This window comes from Homo sapiens, chromosome 17, assembly GCF_000001405.40.
Source record: "Homo sapiens chromosome 17, GRCh38.p14 Primary Assembly".
NCBI classification, from domain to species: domain Eukaryota; kingdom Metazoa; phylum Chordata; class Mammalia; order Primates; family Hominidae; genus Homo; species Homo sapiens.
The window spans coordinates 41889607-41909947 of NC_000017.11; the positions used below are offsets into that span (position 1 = coordinate 41889607).

General features: G+C 51.0%; 1 protein-coding gene and 1 long non-coding RNA gene across 6 annotated transcripts in view, besides 1 other annotated feature; one reads left to right on the top strand and one right to left on the bottom strand.

Moving 5' to 3' along the window:
- Positions 1-20341, bottom strand: part of ACLY (ATP citrate lyase) — a 63629-nt gene that overhangs the window by 22690 nt on the left and 20598 nt on the right. For 3 of the 5 annotated variants that reach the window (XM_005257395.2, NM_001303274.1, NM_001096.3), the window contains exons 5-16: positions 19904-20094; positions 19383-19462; positions 17836-17966; positions 16922-17040; positions 15916-16052; positions 15123-15184; positions 12090-12207; positions 9025-9179; positions 8143-8233; positions 7014-7043; positions 3427-3568; positions 2673-2841 (exon numbers count right to left, since the gene is read on the bottom strand). In XM_005257395.2, coding sequence (XP_005257452.1) covers positions 2673-2841; positions 3427-3568; positions 7014-7043; positions 8143-8233; positions 9025-9179; positions 12090-12207; positions 15123-15184; positions 15916-16052; positions 16922-17040; positions 17836-17966; positions 19383-19462; positions 19904-20094 — 1425 coding nt within the window. The remainder of the gene's footprint in view (positions 1-2672; positions 2842-3426; positions 3569-7013; positions 7044-8142; positions 8234-9024; positions 9180-12089; positions 12208-15122; positions 15185-15915; positions 16053-16921; positions 17041-17835; positions 17967-19382; positions 19463-19903; positions 20095-20341) is intronic. The other 2 variants (NM_001303275.1, NM_198830.2) reach the window with 1 other exon arrangement.
- LOC124904005 (uncharacterized) lies at positions 3579-6160 on the top strand. Its single transcript, XR_007065757.1, has 2 exons — positions 3579-5782; positions 6117-6160. It is a non-coding gene; the product is annotated as an uncharacterized LOC124904005 (long non-coding RNA).
- Positions 3937-4137: a silencer, noted in NCBI's record as "peak2844 fragment used in MPRA reporter construct". NCBI's record gives its function as "represses an SCP1 promoter by STARR-seq MPRAs in K562 erythroleukemia cells {active_cell/tissue: K562}" and the evidence as "EXISTENCE:reporter gene assay evidence [ECO:0000049][PMID:32103011]".

A 20341-nucleotide genomic window follows, 5' to 3' on the forward strand; every position in this document is an offset into this window, starting at 1 on the left:
AGACAATTTTATATTCTCCAGTCATAAACTGAAATAAGCCAGTCTGGGATCAGATGATAATTTTCAACAAAATAATCAATATCCTAATTTTATTTTTTTTGAGATGGAGTCTCTCGTCGCCCAGGCTGGAGTACAATAGCACGACCTTGGCTCACTGCAACTTCCACCTCCCGGATTCAAGTGATTCTCTTGCCTCAGCCTCCCAAGTAGCTGGCACTACAGGTGTCTGCCACCATACCCAGCTATTTTTTTTATTTTTAGTAGAGGCGGTGGCCAGGCTGGTCTCGAACTCCTGACCTCAAATGATCCACCCACCTTGGCCTCCCAAAGTCCTGGGATTCCAGATGTGAGTCACCGCACCCAGCCTCAAACCTGCACCTTCTGATGCAGTAGTTCAACTTCTAGAAATTTATGCTTAGGGAATAATTAAGGATATAGGCAAATGTTAATCCGAGATTGCCCATCACAAGATTTGCAAAAGCAAAAGTGATGCTGCCAGTTAGTGCTTACTGATGTGGAAAGAGCAACTGAAGAAAGCAGATTATATGAGTGGCATACAGTATTATTCCCTTTGCTCAAATCTAGAAAAGGGGGTAGATAAGGACATACCGTCATAGCAGCAGTCATGTTTTTCTGAAATGGGACCTCAAGTATTTATTTTCAACAAAACAGTATTTATCAGTATTTTGAAACTGTTCTATAATAAATATGTAATATTTTTATAATGAAATGTTGGAGTCTTTCTGAGCCTCCTCTGGCTTGGGAAGCTGACCGATTGAAAAAAAAAAAAAAAATTTGCCGGGCGCGGTGGCTCACGCCTGTAATCCCAGCACTTTGGGAGGCCGAGGCGGGCGGATCACGAGGTCGAGAGATCGAGACCACCCTGGCCAACATGGTGAAACTCCGTCTCTACTAAAAATACAAAAAAAAAATTAGCCGGGCATGGTGGCAGGCGCCTGTAATCCCAGCTACTTGGGAGGCTGAGGCAGAAGAATCACTTGAACCCGGGAGGCGGAGGTTGCGGTGAGCCGAGATTGCACCATTGCACTCCAGCCTGGGCAAAAAGAGTGAAACTCTGTCTCAAAAAAAAAAAATTTTTTTTAATTAAAATAGGCCAGGTGCAGTGGCTCACTCCTGTAATCCCAGCACTTTGGGAGGCCAAGGTGAGTGGATCACTTAAGGCCAGGAGTTCGAGACCAGTCTGGCCAACATGGTGAAACCCCATCTGTACAAAAAAAAAAAAAAAAAAAAAAGCCAGGTGTGGTGGCATGTGCTTGTAATCCCAGCTACTCAGAAGGCTGAGGCACGAGAATCACTTGAGCCTGGGAAGTGGAGGCTGTGTGACAGAGTGAGGCCCTGTCTCAAAAAAAAAAAATAAATAAATACAAACATACATAAAATAAAGTGCTTTAATCCTGATTTGTTTTTTTGTTTGTTTTTGAGACAGGATCTGGGACTTACTCTGCTGCCCAGGCTGGAGTGCAATGGCATGATAACAGCACACTGCAACCTCAACCTCCTGAGCTTAAGCGATCCTCCTACCTTAGCCTCCCTACTAGCTGGGACTAGTGAGTGCCATCATGCCTGGCTAATCCTTTTTTAAGTACAGACAAGGTCTTGCTGTGTTGTTCAAGTTGGTCTCGAACCCCTAGCCTCAAACAATACCCCCGCCTCTGCCGCCCAACAAACACAAGCCATGGCATCCAGCCAATCCCAGTTTTCAAGCCAGTTATGCATAGCACAGAGAGGATATAGTGGGGGTGGGGTGGAGCCTGAGCCACCTCATTTATTTATTTAACATTTATTTATTTATTTATTTAGAGTCTCACTCTGCTGCCTAGGCTGAAGTGCAGTGGTGTGATCACAACTCACTGTAGCCTTGACCTCCCAGGCTCAAGTGATCATCCTACCTCAGCCAGCACATGCCACCATGTCCAGCTAATTCTTTTTTTTTTTTAATTTTTTTATAGGGACAGGGTCTTGCTTTGTTGGTCTCAAACTCCTGGGCTCAAGCAATCTTCTTGCCTTGACCTCCCAAAGTGCTGGAATAACAGGCATAAGCCACCATGCCCAGCGTATATTTTATTTTACTTTATTTAATTTTTTAAAGACAGGGTCTTGCTCTGCCACCCACGCTGGAGTGCCATGGAATGATCATAGCTAACTGCAGCCTTGAACTCCTGGGTGATCAATTGATCCTCCTGCCTCAGCTTCCTGAGTAGCTGGGACTACAGGTGTGAGTCACCATGCCTGGCTTGACTAATTTTTAAGCTTTTTGTAGAGAATGGGTCTCGCTTTATTGCTTAGGCTGGTCTTGAACTCTTGGCTTCAAGCAATCTTCCTGCCTCTGCCTTCCAAAGTCCTAGGATTACAGGCATAAGTCACTGTCCCAGGCCTGAGCAGCCTCTTTGTAAGCCCAGATAAGCAGCCTCTGCCCAGACTGACCTGCCCTAAGTCACTATCCTGACTTCTGAAGATCATGTGTCTCCAACCATTTCCACCTAAACCACTGGCTACTCCCAAATCCCCAGCCCTTTGTCCCAGGCAGCAGTGACGGGACATCAACCAGGAGCCATTCCTGCTTCCCCACCCTCTGTCCCCTAGAGCCCAGTGATCTACCTGCGCATAGTTCATGGTCCCCACCCCCCACCCTCCAGAGCCCAGTGATCTACCTGGGCATAGTTCATGGTCTCCATGGTGCTGTCATAGGCAGAGCGGAGAGAGGCAAAGTTGATGAGCACATCTACCTCCGGATGCTTCCTCATGGCATCAGCCATGTTCTTGAAGACAGGGATCAGGATCTCTTTGTGCCCCCAGTAAAACTTCTGCTTGTGGTCCCCACTGTGAGAAAGTAAAAGAAGAATTAGGATATCCTCAACCTGTCAGGACTGGGGAAGGGGAAGCTGAGGGGAGGAATTTCACCTAGAAGATAGAAAAGGCATGGTCTGTGCCCTCAAAGAATTTTCATCTAAGGGACAAAGATCCCCCAGGAATACTGACTGCCTCTGTCTCTAGGATGGGCAAAGCCTTCCCCAGCAAAGGGAATGAGCTCACTGACTCCTCAAGCCTTGCCTTTTTTTTTTCTTTTGAGACAGGTTCTTGCTCTGTCACCCGGGCTGGAGTGCAGTGGCATAATTAGAGTTCACTGCAGCCTCAACCTCCAAGGCTCAGGCAATCCTCCTGCCTCACCCTCCCAAGTAGCTGGGACTACAGGTGCACACCACCATATCCGGCTAATTTTTAAATTATCTGTAGAGATGGGGGTCTCCCTATGTTGCCCAGGGCTGGTCTCAAACTCCTGGGCTCAAGCAGTTCTCCCACCTCGACCTCCCAAAGCGCTAGGATTACAGGCATGAGCCACTGTGCCCAGCCCCAAGCTTTGTCTTAGCAGAGGAAGGAGATATTTCCCGCCATGGGGTAACTCACGTGAAAGGGTAGACCATGGCAGCCACTGAGGGCTCGTCTCGGGAGCAGACATAGTCAAAGTCCAGCATGCCTTGCACGGCCCGGGTCTGCATGCCCCACACAATGGCCTTGGTGTGGCGGCTGAAGAGGGTGGTGCTCTTTCCTGGTGGGCAAAGACACAGAGAGTGCACCCAGAACACATACCCCCAGGAGACCTGCAGGGGCCAGGGCTGCCTGACAGACCCCTCCACGCCCCATGTCCACAGGGTGATGCCTCATCACAACCGTAAAGGAATGTCAAGAGGACAGAATTCTGAGAACTTGGGGAGGAGGTGCCTCGATTTTTCTGGAAGAAGGTGGCAGAAAGAGCAAATCAAGCTAAGAGGGCCTGCTAGCTGGTAAGTAGCTCTGCAAAGAATGGAGAAAGAAGGGCCCCACAGTCAAAGATGCCCAGGATAATTCCTATAGGACCTGCTTCATTTCCCAGGCAAGGTGTGTCATCAGCTTATATGCAAATGAGGTCTTAACAAATTATTTTTAAAGTCATTGGAAAAAAATGCTTAGCTCGCCCAATTTTGGTGGGTTCAGGACTTATGTTCCAACAATGCTTATTACCCTGTAAATCTGGACATAAAACCAGCTCCAGTCAGGGTTTGAATCAGCATGAATTCTAGGTCAGTGTAGGTCCAAAGAAGAGGTTTGTGCAGCCGGGGCTGAGGACACAGCAGCCTTATCGCTAACTGTGGTTCTGGCCAGGGCTCTGCACAAGGCAGGAGCAGCAAGCTAGTTACACAGGGCCAGTGCCCTCAACCTGCTCTCCTGTTTTTCCTGTCCTTCTCCCTTCTACCAGGTGGCTCTTTCCTGCTCAGGACAGTGCTCTTGGACAGACCCTCCAGTGGGCACTTAAGAGGTAAGGCGCAGGTCAGGTGTGGTGGCTCACGCCTGTAATCCCAGCACTTTGGGAGGCTGAGACCAGTGGATCACTTGAGCTCAAGAGTTCAAGACCAGCCTGGCCAACGCGGTGAAACGCTGTCTCTAATAAAAATACAACAATTAGCTGGGTGTGGTGGGGTGGACACCTGTAATCCCAGCTACTCAGGAGGCTGAGGCAGGGAGAATCGCTCGAACCCGGGAGGCAGAGGTTGCAGTGAGCCGAGATCGTGCCAGTGCACTCCAGCCCAGGTGACAGAGCGGGACTCCATCTCAAAAAAAAAAAAAAAAAAATTAGCGTGGTGGCATGCACCTGTAATCCCAGCTTCTTGGGAAACCAACACACAATCACTTGAACCAAGGAGGCAGAGGTTGCGGCGAGCCAAGATCGCACCACTGCACTCCAGCTTGGGCCACAGAGTGAGACCCTGTCTCAAAAAAAAAAAAAAAAAAAAAAAGGGTAAGGGAACAAAAGGAGCTGGTAGAAGTGCAGTTCTCTAGGTGGGCATAGTGGTGCGTGCTTGAGTCCTAGCTACTTAGGAGACTGAGATGGGAGGATCACTTGAGCCCAGGAATTCGAAACCAGCCACCGCGGCATAGTGAGACCCCACCTCAAAAAAAAAAACAACAAAGAAAAACCTTCCATGATGCGATTATTACGCATTGCACGCCTGTACCAAAATATCTCATGCACCCCTACTATGTACCCACAAAAATTTTAAAAAGAAAATTTTAATGCAGCAAGTATATTTAAAAAAAAAAAGAAAAAAGTGCAGTCCTTAGCCTAAAGGGAAAGGACTTTTACCACGCTTCAGGCAGTTGACTTTCCCCTCTGGGTCCCTGCAAGTCCAAGAGGAGGAAAGCAGCCCTCAGGGAGGTTCTGAGCTCCCCTAGGAAGAATGATGCATCTAGCCCAGTGGCATCTCGTATTAATTAACCTACTGTACTAGAGCAGGCTTGGCTAACCAAGTTCATGGTCTCATTAAATCCCTGTACAGGCCTGCCTCTTCCATCACAGCCTTACAGCTTCTCATGACAGAAGGTTCCTGATGTTGCAAATACCTGGGATTTACTGTCACCTAGACCCCCCGGGTTCTGCTGAGACATGAGATCACAGAACAAGGGGAGCCACCTAATCCAGTTCTCCCACTTCCCAGTCCTAGGAAACTGAAGCCCAGAGATGCCAAATGATTGAGGTCCGAGGTCATCCAGCATCAGAGCCAGGATTACACAATCACTTAAAATGCAGCTCAACTGTGAAAGTGAGGAGGGAGAATATAAGTGTGAGTTCATGACCCGCCATCCTCAGGGGAAGCCTGCATCATGTCACCCCCGCCAGGTGACGCACGTGCACATGCCTCTGATCTATCTACCCTGCCAGCTACAGAAATCAAGACAAAGCCTGGAATCTACCAACCTACCAGCATCTCCAGCAGGAAGGGTGGAGGTAAAGTGGCCCTTCCTCAAGCACAGAGAAACCAAAGCTGAAGGGTGTATCCTCAGCCCACCAGCAGCAGAGAGGCTCCAGAGAGAACCTCTGTGCCAGGGGCTATGCCCCCTACACCAGGCCTCCTCTGGCCTCGCTGAGGGGAGGGCTCGCTCAGCCATAATCTGTTCTCCCTGACACACCCTCCTTTTATTTCTCTCACTCCAGAAAGTAACAAGGATAACCCCCCTCCTCATAACCCTCCTCCCCTTCAGAGCACAGAGAGCTCCTGGAGAACCAGGGCTGGTCCCTGTTCTTTCCACACTGGGCTCACTCTGCTCTTAACTTTTTCCAGAGGCAAAAACATCAGGATTAAAGCCAGGTGGCCACAGTGCTGCATTCCAGGCCTTTCCAGCTGGTTATCGACCCTGCCAATTACTCCTTCCCCTCCCCTTAGCAAGGGGACAACAAAGACTTCCCCGCCTCCACGGCTGTGAATGTCAAAGTTAAATGGACGCTCTGATGCCATGAACCAATTAATCTACTCAGCTAGGCTGGTGGGTGAATGCGCATGCACAGAAGTATCCACTGTAAAATGTGACCTCATACACCAGACAAAGCTCATACCCCTTCCAATTACCCAGTCACTAGATCCGCTGCACACCCTTCTGCGCTTCCGTCTACCTCCTTCTTCACCTCTTTTGTTCCTCCACCACAACCCCAGAAAAAGATAAACTGGTCCCTGGAGCTTGAGGATGAAGCTGGCAGTGGTGAAGCCGAGGCAGGAAAGGTGGGAAAATGACATCAGGAGATGTAAATGAGAAGCAGGGGTGACTTGTGGCTCCCCTTCTGCACCCCAGCAGTGACAGACGCCCACGACTCTCTGCCACTCCCCATTTAGTTGGATGGCTCCCTCCTTCCCAGGCGACACTCTCTCCTTGACACCACTACACTCTCCAGGGCTGTGGGTCTGGCTCTTGCTCCTTCCAAAATCTCTACCCCTTCCCAAGCTTGGAGCCAGAAACAGCCACACAGTGAGGAGAGGACTGAGTGGGGCGCGTACTGAGCACGGATAGGAGGGGAGGAAGAGCGAAGACTTAGGACTTGGGGTCAGGCCACATCAAGGCAGGGACAGAAAATAGACCAGACGACACTGCAACCCACCAGGGGAGGGGGAAACAGAGCACACAGTAAAACTGTCACCCGCTAACAAAGCCACACGCGGAGTGGGGGCAGGGTGGGGGCATCCTACCTTGCAGGGATCTTGGACTTGGGACTGAATCTGTCAAAGAAAATGACCAAGGCAACTGAGTGACCCACTGATGGCTGGAGGCTTTGGAGGGAGAGGGTGGGAACAGGGAAGGGTCCCATGGACAAGCCTTTCAGGGCTAAAGCCCTCATCATCCCTCTCCTGTTCTGCAATGGACAACGGAGTAAGGCCAGCAGAAGAGGTGAAAGCACCGATGAGCAGAATGGAAGCAAGAAAGAGCAAAGACCAAACGGGCAGAGAGGGGGCAGGAGGAGGACAAAGGCTGGGCAGATGTGCTCAACACCAGCGCCTCCCCCAGGCCCTCTGCAGGGACAGCTGGATGACTTGAACTCTGGGCTCTCTAGCTGGCGCAGTCCCACCCTCTTAATGCCAATCCCTTTTTGTCTCCATGAAACACTATGAGATGATTGGCCAGCATGGGGTTGACCCGTGCCATGGACAAGGATGCTGATTTGGGACAGTGTCACTATTTTCCAAAATGCCATAGCAAAGTGTGTCCCAGGAAGAGGCTGCACAGGTATACCAGCCCAGGGGTAACTAACACCACTTATGTAGAGCTGGCTGCAAGGGCTGGCCGGCAGGAATCACATCTACACGGAGAGAAAAATTAGTTGAAATACAGATGGGCTGACAGGCGGGGGCTTTTCTTGCTGGGGATTCAAAGGAGGGAATGTCTGTTAGGGCCCCAAGATGGTGGGGGTGGCCTGGGAACTGCTGTTGTATGAGCTGGCTCTGCCGTCCTGGGGTCCCGGTGTCTGCCCTCCACTCAGGAGAAGAGTCTCAGAGAACTTTCCACTTCCTGGGATTTCTGTAACCCTATCTCCTCCACAGCCTCCCTGCCCAGTCCACACCCCCATAAGAAGAACCAGGGGTAGAAGAGAATAGGGGGAGTTGAGGCGACCAGGCACGGCGTGGGTCCTCTGCCTCAGGAGCGCCCACAGGGAAGGCTCAAGTCATACCATCCTCGTGTCCCAGGTGCACTCCCATTGCAAAACCCAAACCGCTGTTCATCTGCCTCTGCCAGCCCAGGGGGGAAAGGGAAAGGGGAGAGAGATACAGAGGGTACCGCAAGGCCACTCCCTGCAACATGCCTGAAGCCTCAGGGAGTTACCTTGTGGCATGGCAGGCTTGGCCTTCTTTGCAGGCGCCACCTCATCGGCCCTGGACTCAGAAAAAGATGCTGTCCTGCTGGGGGCTGGCGTCTGGGGTGAGATAAGGAGAGAGTGTAAGAGGTAAGAGTCACACCTGGGAAAAAAGCCACTGGTCCTTAAAGGCCCCAAAGAAAACTCGTAATAAAAATTATGCACAGCAATGCTCTTTATAAGCTGCTTCCAAAAGTACTAATAATCCTCTAAGATACGAATTAATATTATCCCATGTTACAGATCAGCAAACTGAGGCCCTGGGTGGACAAGGTACTGGCTAAGGTTGCTCTCTCAGCAAAAAGTAAGAGTAACGATTTTTAAGTTTTTCTTTTCTTTTCTTTTCTTTTGAGACGAATTCTCACTCTGTTGCTCAGAGCTGGAGTGCAATGGTGCCATCACAGCTCACTGCAACCTCCGCCTCCCAGGTTCAAGTGATTCTCATGCCTGAGCCTCCCGAGTAGCTGGGATTACAGACATGCACCACCATGTCTGGCTAACTTTTGTATTTTTAGTAGAGACACGGTTTCACCATGTTGGCCAGGCTGGTCTCGAACTCCTGAGCTCAGGTGATCCGCCAGCCTCGGCCTCCCAAAGTGCTGGGATTACAGGCATGAGCCACCATGCCCGGCCACAATTTGAACTTGGATCCAATTTTAAAATCCTTTGTCCTTCCATTATACTACTTTAATCAGGACAGGAAAAAAATTGGCAGAGATCCACAAACCAACCATGCACTAACTCCCGCTGTATTTCCTCTATGCCCCCAGGGAACAGAGGAAGAAGACTGTATCCTAGTGGAAAAGATGAGATGGTTCCTTCCTGTAAGGTTTGGGGAGGCTGGAACCTACCGATGTGCTCCCGCTGGCGTTGAGGAGGAAGTTTGCAGTGTGGGCCGCTGTGGGTGGCTGGTTGGGGATGGGCCGGTGGCCCAGGGCCATGCCCACAATGGCCGTCATGTGAGTCTCTGTGCCAAAGACATGGATGGGGATCCCAGTGGTCTTCCCTGCAAGGGAAGGAAAAAAAAATCCATAATTCAAGTCTGCAGATAAGGGCCCAAGTCCATGTGACCCTGCAAAGGGCCTTTTACAGCCATGATCAGTGTTTGGCGCATTCAGTGCAAGACCAATATCCAGGACAAATCAGCTGTCATAATTTCACCACCAGACAAATCTTTCTAAAGGCCACTTGCTGATAACAAGAACAAGAAACAGGCCAGGTGCAGTGGCTCACACCTGTAATCCCAGCAATTTGGGAGGCCGAGGCGGGCAGATCACTTGAGGTCAGGAGTTTGAGACCAGCCTGGCCAACGTGGTGAAACCCTGTCTCTACTAAAAACACAAAAAATTAGCCAGGCGTGGTGGCGTGTGCCTGTAATCCCAGCTACTCGGAGGCTCAGGCAGGAGGATCCCTTGAAACTGGGAGGCAGAGGTTGCAAAGTAAGCTGAGATTGCGCCACTGCACTCCAGCCTGGGTGACAGAGTGAGACTCTTGTCTCCAAAAAAAAAAAACCACATAAGAAACATATTTACTGGCAAGATTCAAGTAACCAAATTATCAGAGCCCATATTCCTCCTGTTCGCAGTCTGGACCCCAGCTCTCCAGCTTTCCTTAGCCCTCATCGCATGCATCCACCAGTGCTTGGTCTCTGTTCCTAAACACCCTGAGCCCATTCCCCCAGGGCTCTGGCCCTGCTTCTCCCTCTGCGTGGAGCTCTCCATGGAGCTTCACCTGGCTGCTCTCTGGTCTCCCAGCTCAACCCAAGCACTACCTCCTGAGAAAGGCCCCCTCTGACCTTGATGGTCACTCTCCCATGCCACGCTCCCCTCCTCCTTGTACAGACAGACCCCTAGCATCTTCTCCTACTGTTTACTTGTGGAATGTTCTAATTTTAAGAGCATGATCTGGTAACTTCACTGTGCTGTCCCCAGGCCTGCCCCACTGCACATAGCAGATCCTCAGCTTTGAACCAGCTCTATTAAAAAGAAAACAAAAGGCTCACACCTGTAATCCCAACACTTTGGGAGGCCTAGGCAGGTGGATCGCTTGAGTCCAAGAGTTCGAGACCAGCCTGGGCAACATGGCAAAAGTTCGTCTACAAAAAAATTAGCCAGGTGTGTGCTAATTTTTTGTACAAAAATTGTGTATTTATTGTGGCATGTATCTGTAGTCCCAGCTACTCAGGAGGTTGAGGTGGGAGGATCCCTTGAGTCTGGGAGGCAGAGGTTGCAGTGAGCTGTGATCACACCACCGCACTCCAGCCTGGGTGACAGAGTGAGACCCTGTCTCCAAAAAAAAAAAAAAAAAAAAAAAAAAATTGCCTATAATCTCAGCACTTTGGGAGGCCGAGGCAGTCTGATCACGAGGTCAAGAGATTGAGACCATCCTGGCTAACACGGTGAAACCCCGTCTCTACTAAAAATACAAACAAAAATTAGACAGGTGTGGTGGCAGATGCCTGGAGTCCCAGCTACTTGGGAGGCCGAGGCAGGAGAATGGCGTGGACCCGGGAGGCGGAGCTTGCAGTGAGCCGAGATCGCGCCACTGCACTCCAGCCTGGGTAACAGAGCGAGACTCCATCTCAAAATAAAAAAAAAAGAAAAAAAAGAAAAAAAATTAACCCTATTCAATTCAAACCTAAGTCAAATTGTGTCACTTGGCTGGTTGTAGTGGCTCACGTCTATAATCCTAGCACTTTGGGAGGCAAAGGCAAGAGGATCACTTGAGGCCAGGAGTTTGAGATCAGCTTGGGCAACACAGTGAGACACTATCTCACAACAAATTTTTTTTTTTTAATTAGCCAGGTGTGGTGGTGCACACCCGTGGTCCCCAATACTTGGGAGGCTGAGGAGGGAGGATCACTTGAGCCCACAAGGTGGAGGCCGCAATGAGCTATGATGGTACCACTGCACTCAAGTCTGGGTGACAAAGCAAGGCACTGTCTCAAAAAATAATAATAATAATAAATATGTGGTTCCTCTGCTTGAACACTTCTTGTGCCTGCTGTCTCACAGTGATGGCCAAGTCCTCCTGTGACCTGTAGTGTCTCGCTGCCACTCTCTCAGTCCCAGCCCCTTACCACTGCAGGGTATGGGAATTTGCCCTTCCCTCTCCAAGAGTCACCATGGCGCTGCTCCCTCATTCTAGGTCTTTGCTCAAATGTCAGTTTTCTTTTCTTTCTTCTTTTTTTTTTGATACAGGGTCTCACTCTGTCACCCAGGCTGGAGTGCAGTGGCATGATCACGGCTCACTGCAGCCTCAACCTCCCAGGTTCAGGTGATCCTCCCACCTCAGCCTCCCAAGTAGCTGGGACTACAGGTGTGTACCACCATGACCGGCTAATTTTTGTATTTTTTTTTTTGTAGAGGCAGGGTCTCGCCATGTTGCCCAGGCTGGTCTTGAACTCCTGAGCTCAAGGGATCCTCCCACTTCGACCTCCCAAAGTACATGAGCCACCTGTGCCCAGCCTTGATCAAGTTTGATCAAGCATTTTCTGATCTCCCTGTTGAAGGCTGCCCCGACCCCTCCCACATGCATTCTCCCTTTCCCTGCTTTGTTTTCCTTCCTGGCACTCGGCACCCCCTGACATAGCAGTTTGTGTCCTCCGTTCCATCAAGGCTTGCTGTCTGTCCATTTGTGGCTGTAACCCTCGTCACCAGCACAAAGCCCAGCACAGAGCGAGTGATCTTTAATAAATATCTGTTAAGTGTAGAGCTCAATGAAAATGCTTTCCTGACCACTCCAAAGTTTAGGATAGCACTCTGTGTTGGGACAGGGAATGGAAACCCAAACTGCACACCCAGGAAGGGGAGTAGAGAGCAAAAGAGCCTAAGACTGATGCTCAGGAATCAGAAATCCCAAAGAGGAAGGCCACCCACACTCAGGGTGAGGGGGAGAGAAAAGGTCCTCATCTTACCGACTTCTCCCATCACCCGTAAGCCCTCCTGATAGTTGGGGCCACCTCTTCGGACAAAGATTGTGACTTCGTGCTCCTTCAGGGGGCCCTGGTAATCTCGAATTGCTCTCACGATGCCCTGGAAGCCCAAAGTGACATGTGACTAAAAACAAGGCAGCCACAAGTCAATGATTTATAACCGTGATAAACAAACATACCAGGTATATGTGACAAGTGCTGCTCCTCAGGAAGCACAGGACTACGCATAAGCAGCCACGGCCTGGGATATGATCACTCAGAATGTTGCTGAGGTGGGAACGTGGGGTACCCGGGATTGACATCCCTTAATGTCATGGTGCTCCAGGCCTCCATCATCAGCAAGGCCTTGCTGGTCTCTCTTTTGTCCCTTCTGCAGTCATTACTGCCTCTTACTACATTTTTGTTTTTGGTGGGGATATCTATGTTGGGCTCTATGCAAGGGTTCTCAGAGGTACTAAGACATAGTCAATGTCCTACAAAAGCTTCTTAAGTGATGTGCGGGAATAGTTCTTTCTTTTGAGACAAATTCTCGCTCTGTCACCCGGGCTGGGGTGTAGTGGTGTGAGCTCGGCTCACTGCAACCTCTGCCTCCTGGGTTCAAGCGATTCTCCTGTCTCATCCTCCCGAGTAGCTGGGACTACAGATGTCTGCCACCACACCTGGCTAATTTTTTTATTTTTAGTAGATATGAGGCTTCACCATATTGGTTAGGCTAATCTCAAACTCCTGACCTCAGGTGATCCACCCACCTCAGCCTCGCAAAGTGCTGGGATTACAAGCGTGAGCCACCGCGCCCAGCGCGGTGTAAGAACAGTTCTTACAATGGATATCCACTTTGGAAAAATGAGAGGGTGGAAAGGTGTGTCCTAGTTCTGTTTCTCAAGACAGAGGCTAGATTTTTGAGCCTAGAGTCTGACTTCTGTCACCCAAGGCATTTTACACAAAGTTCCATGTACAGTACCTGCTCCAAACCAAGTGCCCTAACCAAGGGTCAGTACAGGGCAGCTCAGAAGTTAAATAAAAGCTGCTGAGGCTCCCCTGTCCCAGATTTGTCTGTTAAATCAGGTCCAGTTATGGACACCCTGTTTTGGGCAGGACTGATGGGGTCTGGCCCCACATTTTATTTATGTTTTGAGACAGGGTCTCATTGTCGCCCAGGCTGAAGCACAGTGGCACGATCACGGCTCACTGCAGCCTCAACCTCCGGGGCTCAAGCAATCCTCCTAGCTCAACCCACTAATTTTTTTTAAATTTTAGTAGAGATGAGATCTCATTATGTTGCCCAGCCTTGTCTTGAACTTCTGAGCTCAAGTGATCTGCCTGCCTCAGCCTCTCAAAGTGCTAGAATTATAGTTATAAGCCACCACGCCCAGCCTCTCACTTCTTGAGACCTCAGACTTTCAAGTTTGACACTTATCTAGTCATTATTCTCAAAACTCACATGGATCCACCACCAGATGTGGCACACACTCTTTTGAATACACTCACTGAGCATCTGACAGCATGGAATATTAATAAATGGCCTCCTTGGGTGGCTATCTTGAAAGGGATGACTCTTGAGACACGTTAGCTCTGTCTTCCTTGTTGACAGCAGTCACATGTGCTTTAAAGCATGTGCACACACAGCCCTGACTCGTGAACAGGCACCCAGGTTGAGAAGACCCCAGTAGGATGAGAGGAGCCCCGGATCATCAAAGCACTTTCTTCATTCCAATCTTTTGGAAAAAGGGCTCATGACAGAAAGATATAAGACCAGGATGGCCGGGCACAGTGGCTCAAGTCAGTAATCCCAGCTCTTTGGGAGGCCGAGGCGGGCAGATCATGAGGTCAGGAGGTCGAGACCATCCTGGCTAACATGGTGAAACCCCGTCTCTACTAAAAATACAAAAAAAATTAGCCGGGTGTGGTGGCGGGCACCTGTAGTCCCAGCTACTTGGAGGACTGAGGCAGGAGAATGGCATGAATCCGGGAGGCGGAGGTTGCAGTGAGCCGAGATTGCGCCACTGCACGCCAGCCTGGGCAACAGAGCGAGACTCTGTCTCAAAAAAAAAAAAAAAAAAAAAAAAAAAAAAAGAGATGCAGAGAACCCAGAGTCTCACGAGAGTGTTGAAAGTAAGGAGGATCGGTTGGGCATGGTGGTTCACACCTGTAATACCAGCACTTTGGTAGGCTAAGGCGGGTGGATCACCTGAGGTCAGTTCGAGACTAGCCTAGCCAACATGGTGAAACCCCTGCTCCACTACAAATACAAAAATTAGCCGGGCACGGTGGTGGGTGTCTGTAATCCCAGGTACTCAGGAGGCTGAGGCAGGAGAATCACTTGAACCCAGGAGGCAGAGGCTGTAGTGAGCTGAGATCGTGCCATTGCACTCCAGCCTCAACAACAAGAGTGAAACTCCATGGAAGGAAGAAAGGAAGGGAGGGAAGGAGGAAAGGAGGGAGGAAGAGAGGGGAGGGAGGGAGGAAAGGAAGGAAGGGAGGGGAGGGAGGGAGGAAAGGAAGGGAGGGAGGAAAGGAAGGAAGGGAGGGGAGGAAGGAAGGGAGGGGAGGGAGGAAGGGAGGGGAGGGAGGAAGGAAAGGGAGGGAGGAAAGAAAGGGAAGAAGGAAAGGGAAGGAAGGGAAGAAGGAAGGGAAGGGAAGAAGGAAGGGAAGGGAAGGGAAGGGAAGGGAAGGGAAAGGAAGAGAAGGGAAGGAAAGAAAGAAAGGATCGATTGAGCCAGTGCTCCAAAGCATTGGTCCTGAGAAGGAAGAAAGCAGAAATTCGCCTCCCATGCTTCAGGTGGGAGAGTTATAGTTCAGCGTAGCAGCTGCTTGCCCAGAGACACACAGCGCAGATGGGCAGCTCCTGTCCCAGTGTCTTCTCCACCCCTTTAAGAGACCCTGGGGCAAGAGCTCCCTACCTGACCTGGGAACTCATGGTAACTTGGCTCTGGCTCAAACTCTGCTTTCAAGGCCCCTTCCCTGCTTTCCCCAAACCACTTTCCCCAGAAACTGCACCACTGTTGCAACTGTTACCTTGAACGTGGCAGCCACGTTGGTGAAGTTTGCGATGCTGCCTCCAATGATGAGGATCTTGCCTGGATTTGGAGTAAGAGAGAATCAAAAACAGTTACATAGGTAGACTTGAGCATCTTCCCAGCAATCCAACTGAGGAAGTTCTTGTTCCCCTGAATGAGGGTCCCCCATCTGCCAGGAGGTACTGGGGAGTGAGTAGGACAGTCTCTCCAGACATTCCACTTTATCAGCTCAACTCTCCATTACCTATGCCACCAGACAGGGGTCAGAACAAACCCACAGGAGCACTACATAACTCCTAACCAACATCCAAAAATCCAGGTTGGTTTCTAGATATCTCTGGAGGGAATCTCTCTCCCTCTCTGGCTCAAGGAAAGAAGAACTGGTATGCAGAGCTCCAAAACACAGGTGGTAAAGGGGCACTGAGACTCACAGAGGCCAGGTAATATAAGAGGGTCACTGAGTTTATTGCAATCAGAGTTTATCGCAATCGGATAAACTGAGTTTACTGCAATTGTAGCAGGAGCATGCCACAGCCACCTCCTCCCCTGCACTTGTTTGAAGGGCTTTATCACACATCACCTCTTGCCCTCTCAGTCCCCTCCCACTGATAGATGTGGTCCCTGCCCTCTGTGCAGTCAGAGAAACTGAGAGCCAAAGTTCAATGATTAGCCTCAAGTTGCAAAGGACCACACACAGCCTTGGTGACTCCTCAGACGAAGCTGTCCCATTGCAGCCTGCTGGGCTGTCCTGGGGAAGTGGGGACAGGTATGTGTGTGTGCAAGTATCTCACCATCTGGGTGCTTCTCTCGGGTCATGAGGGAGAGGATAGTCTTGGCATAGTCATAGGTCTGCTGCTCGCTGGGGGCGCCTGAGTACTCCCCATAGTTTGCCAGCTCGTTGACACCCCCTAGATCACAGATGGTATCGCTGCCAAGGAGACAGAAGTCAGTGATGGCTCTCACACTTGGGGCAGGGAGTGGCAGCCTGGTGCCTGGGAGGACACACGGATCCCTCAAAACACTGGAGTTAGCCTGTGGAACCGGCCTCTTGGATCTCCAGCCCCCAATTCCCATGCAAGTCTGGCCTGCAGGTTAATGGTGCTACATCAGACTCTTCTGGGCAGTGCACTCTGCCAGCCCTAAGGCACTGGGGAGCCCTGGACAGACAATGGCAGGTAAAATGAACAATGAGCACCTCCCTAACACAAAGACAAGCAAAATCACACACTGCAGGAGTCCCTGACGGGCTACCCAAGAGAAAGTGTGCTGCAGCCAGAGGAAATAGTGCCAGTCACACACAGAAGGGAATGGCAGATTGCACATCTAGAAGTGAGCAGGTGTCTACCATGCTTAAAGTGAAAAAAACTGCTAATTATTGTAAAGGGTGTAGAATATGATCCTAATATTCTATAAAGCAAAGAGTATAAATATTTATATATGCTTGACAGGACATACAGTAACTTGCTAACTGGGGTGACCTGGTCAGGGAGAGGATGGGGAAATGTCCAGGCAACTTTCACTTTCTAGCTCATTTTCTGTACCTTTGTATGGAGCACGTAATTTTCAGAATTAAAACTCATAAAACAGCTTCATTTTGACACAAACAAGAAGGTTATAGAAGACACTGGGTGCAGGACAGGCCCTCACCAACATCCCTCGAAGCCCTCTGGGATGCCACTGCTTTCCTCTGCCCCAAATTCCCACACCAAAGTGACAGGACCCCACCCACCCAGGCTACACACATGTTGATGCTGGGTAGACTGGGCTGGCATCCCTTCAGCAACCCCCTTCGGTCACCTGTACACGACAGAGGCGCCACCCCCGGCCACCATGGTCCAGATCCTCCCTTTGGGGTTCAGCAAGGTCAGCTTCAGGCTTGCCCCACTTTTGGCATCGAGGTCTGCAATGTAGGCTTCCTGGGGACCAGACAGCAACAGGTAGGCCCTTGGGGTACCCCCTTTACCAGGTCCCAGATCCTAGGACCCCTCCCCGCTTTCCCTGGAAGCACATGAAAAGGTGCCTTAATGGGGTGGGAAGAAGGGGCTACGCAGGGCCCCACATGCCTTGAAGACACTTGATGGTGTCTCCAAGTACCAAAAACACCCATAGTCACAGTCACTGCCTAGGGACAAACTTCCCATCTCCCTTCTCTGACGTCAAGTACTTGGCCCTCTGCCTAAGTCCTGAGCCTAACCATGTCCCTCTGCTCAACCATGCCCTCACCCCAGCATCTGCCTGCTCGGCCCATCACACGTCCCCCCAACCCCAGGCCTCCCCAGACGAGACCGTCTCCTAGCCCAGCCTCTTCCCTGGGCCTGGGGTACTTCCCAGAAAGCCCAGTCCTGCTGTGAGGACTTCTCAGAGGACAGAGTGGGAAAGAGCAATTAAAATTCTCAGTGAGACGCGGAGAGAATGACCTTCCATCAGGATTAAGGCGAGACACTTGGAATCATGGAGAGGCAACAAATCAAGTGAAGAGTCGAGGGAGGCTGATTGAGAGAGAAATCTAAAAGGATTTCTGGCTGGGATTCAGAGGCTTGGCTCACTCCCACCCCCACCCCATTGAGGTTTTAAGAAAATTAAATGCTTCTCAGTCTTCCTTTCCCTGCCAAATAAACAGCTCATGAAGGGGGGCCAAATGCACATCAAAGATGAGTCACCTCCCCACCGCCCTCCCCCCAGTCCCCATCTCCTCTCTAAACCAGCCTTACCTCTGGATATGCCTCCCGCCCGAAGGGGGGAGGGAACTCGATGTCACCCCACTTCACTTTGCAGATGTAGTCGGCAGTGGCGTCCACCTTGGCCGCCAAGTCAAGGACATAGACTCCATCTTTGGTCACTACTTCAAGGGGAGCAGAGGCAATCATCAGACACCGGCTCTGGGTAGAGACAACCACCAACCTCCAACCCCTCCACAAACACCGATCCCATGGTGGCCCATTCAGGCCTCAGAACTCTCTAAGCTCAGTAAGAAACCAGAGAGGCCCTTATGGAGACAGAGCTTTTCCCCATTAAAGGCAAAACAAATTCTACAAGGCCATTCCCCTCTCCCTGACCTATAGGCAATGGGACATGGAGGTCTGTATTAGTTGCCATGGCAATTTTCAAACATCTTTACAAAACGCTACACTCCCTGCTTTTGAGTATCTAACCATGCGCAAACCCATGGTCCGGCCACTTTTAAAAAGTGTTTAAAGGTACATGTTGCTGACAGAAGACCCCCCACCGGTATGCACATCTATGTCTCCCAGGGTCTGGCTAGGGGAAGCCTCAGTGTCAGGTGGAGCAGGGGCCGCAGGGTGCACTGGACTCCCAATCAGCAGGATTCGTTTATACCACCTCACTGGACACCCATCTTCCTCCTCCCCCAGGGCCATTTAGCTGATTGAGTTAGCACAAGGCCATCTGGTCCATTAGAGGGGCTGCATCCTCAGCTGGAATGATTTGATTTCTCGCCTTCCTAGACTCTGCCCTGAGAAGTCCTGGCCAGAGCCAGCCCACGCCACTCTCCCTCAACACCACCTGCTTCCTTCACAGCCCAAGAGACTGAGACCAAGCTCTTCCCAGCATCAAGGGTTAATGATTGACCAACTCCCACAGAGGGAGGCAAGTGTGAGGCCTCTGAGTGTACCAGGAGGAATGAAGGGCCAAAGGGTGAGAGCAGTGCAGAGGCTGCCCACCTCCTGCTGTCAGAAAGCCTGACCTGGCGGGAGGAGCAGAAGCACACAGTCAGATCAAAACCAGGACTTCTGGCCGGGCGTGGTGGCTCACGCCTGTAATCTCAGCACTTTGAGAGGCCGAGGTGGACAGATTACCTGAGGTCAGGAGTTCGAGACCAGCCTTGGCCAACATGGTGAAACCCCGTCTCTACTAAAAATAAAAAATTAGCCTGGCGTGGTGGCGGGCACCTGTAATCCCAGCTACTCGGAAGGCTGAGGCAGAAAAATTGCTTGAGACCAGGAGGCGGAGATTGCAGTGAGCTGAGATTGTGCCACTGTACTCCAGCCTGGGCGACAGGGCAAGACTCTGTCTCTAAGACCAAAGAGAGAGGTTGGAGTTGACTAAGAGAAGAACTACAGTCTTCTGAGAGCTCAGAAACAGGAACTGGCACTAAACCTGCATGGGGACCCCTCTGCTTGTGCACATCTGTCTTGTGTTACCCTCTGGCAAGTGGGAGTCTGGTTCTCTGAATGCCAAGGCCAGGGCTGTCATAGGCACTGGGACCCTTGCCCCCTCCCAGCCAAGCACACCCAGTTACCAAGGGGATTGATCTCGAGGTAGGTGAAGTACAAGTCCTCGTAGAAATTGAAGAGGCCGGAGATAAAACTGGCCAGAATTCTAGAGGTGGGAGGGAGAGAGGGACAGTTCATCCATCAGGGAGCAGCTCGGCAGCACCCCAGGCGCCCCGCAGCAATCTCTCACTGCCACCGACAGCTCCATTTCCCTAAACGCACCCCACTGGCCCTTCCATCTCCTCTGCAACCCCTGCTCCCTGGACATAGCTCTTCAGCCACTGAGGCGGAAAGGAGCTGTCAGGCGAGAAGCTGGAGGCAGAGGTGTCAGACAGACAGGGGCAAGGAGGTGAGGGATGCTGGCGGCATATTTCAGTCTGGTTCCAAGCCAGTCCCCGCCCTGCACCCAGCTGTCTTCCTCAGGACAGGGCCGTGTCTACCACCTGGCTCCCAGAGAGGAGACCGCTCTGCTCTCCCCAGTCTGTGCCCAGAGCCTGTCGGTCTTCTCATCCGAACTGCCACCTCCCTACCGTCCCTCTCACTCAACTCTTTCTTGTCTTCAGGGGCGTGGACCAACAGGTGTTTTTTGATGTCCTCAGGATTCAGTTTCTCATCCACGCCAACAAGCAGCTTCTGGGCCTTGGCGTCCACATCACCCACGTCCACACCCCCCTCGTGGTGGAACAGGACGTAGTCCCCTTCTCGGGTGGCATAGATGCAGACATAGAACTCCTCAGCCTTGCAGGTGAAGAGACAGGACAGTGGGATTGGGGTTGTGGGGGCGAAGCTGGTGAGGGGCGCTGAACTGGGGAAGATGGTCTACCATGTACTGGGAGAGGAAACCAATCCCCACGGTCTCATTTTCTAAAACCCAGTGAAAACCATTCATCCAGAGACTTGTCCACCATCTTTTCCCCGAGGACAAGAGGAAGAAGCCTCTACCCCACTGGCTGGTGGTCCAGACTGAATCAGTATGACCAACCCC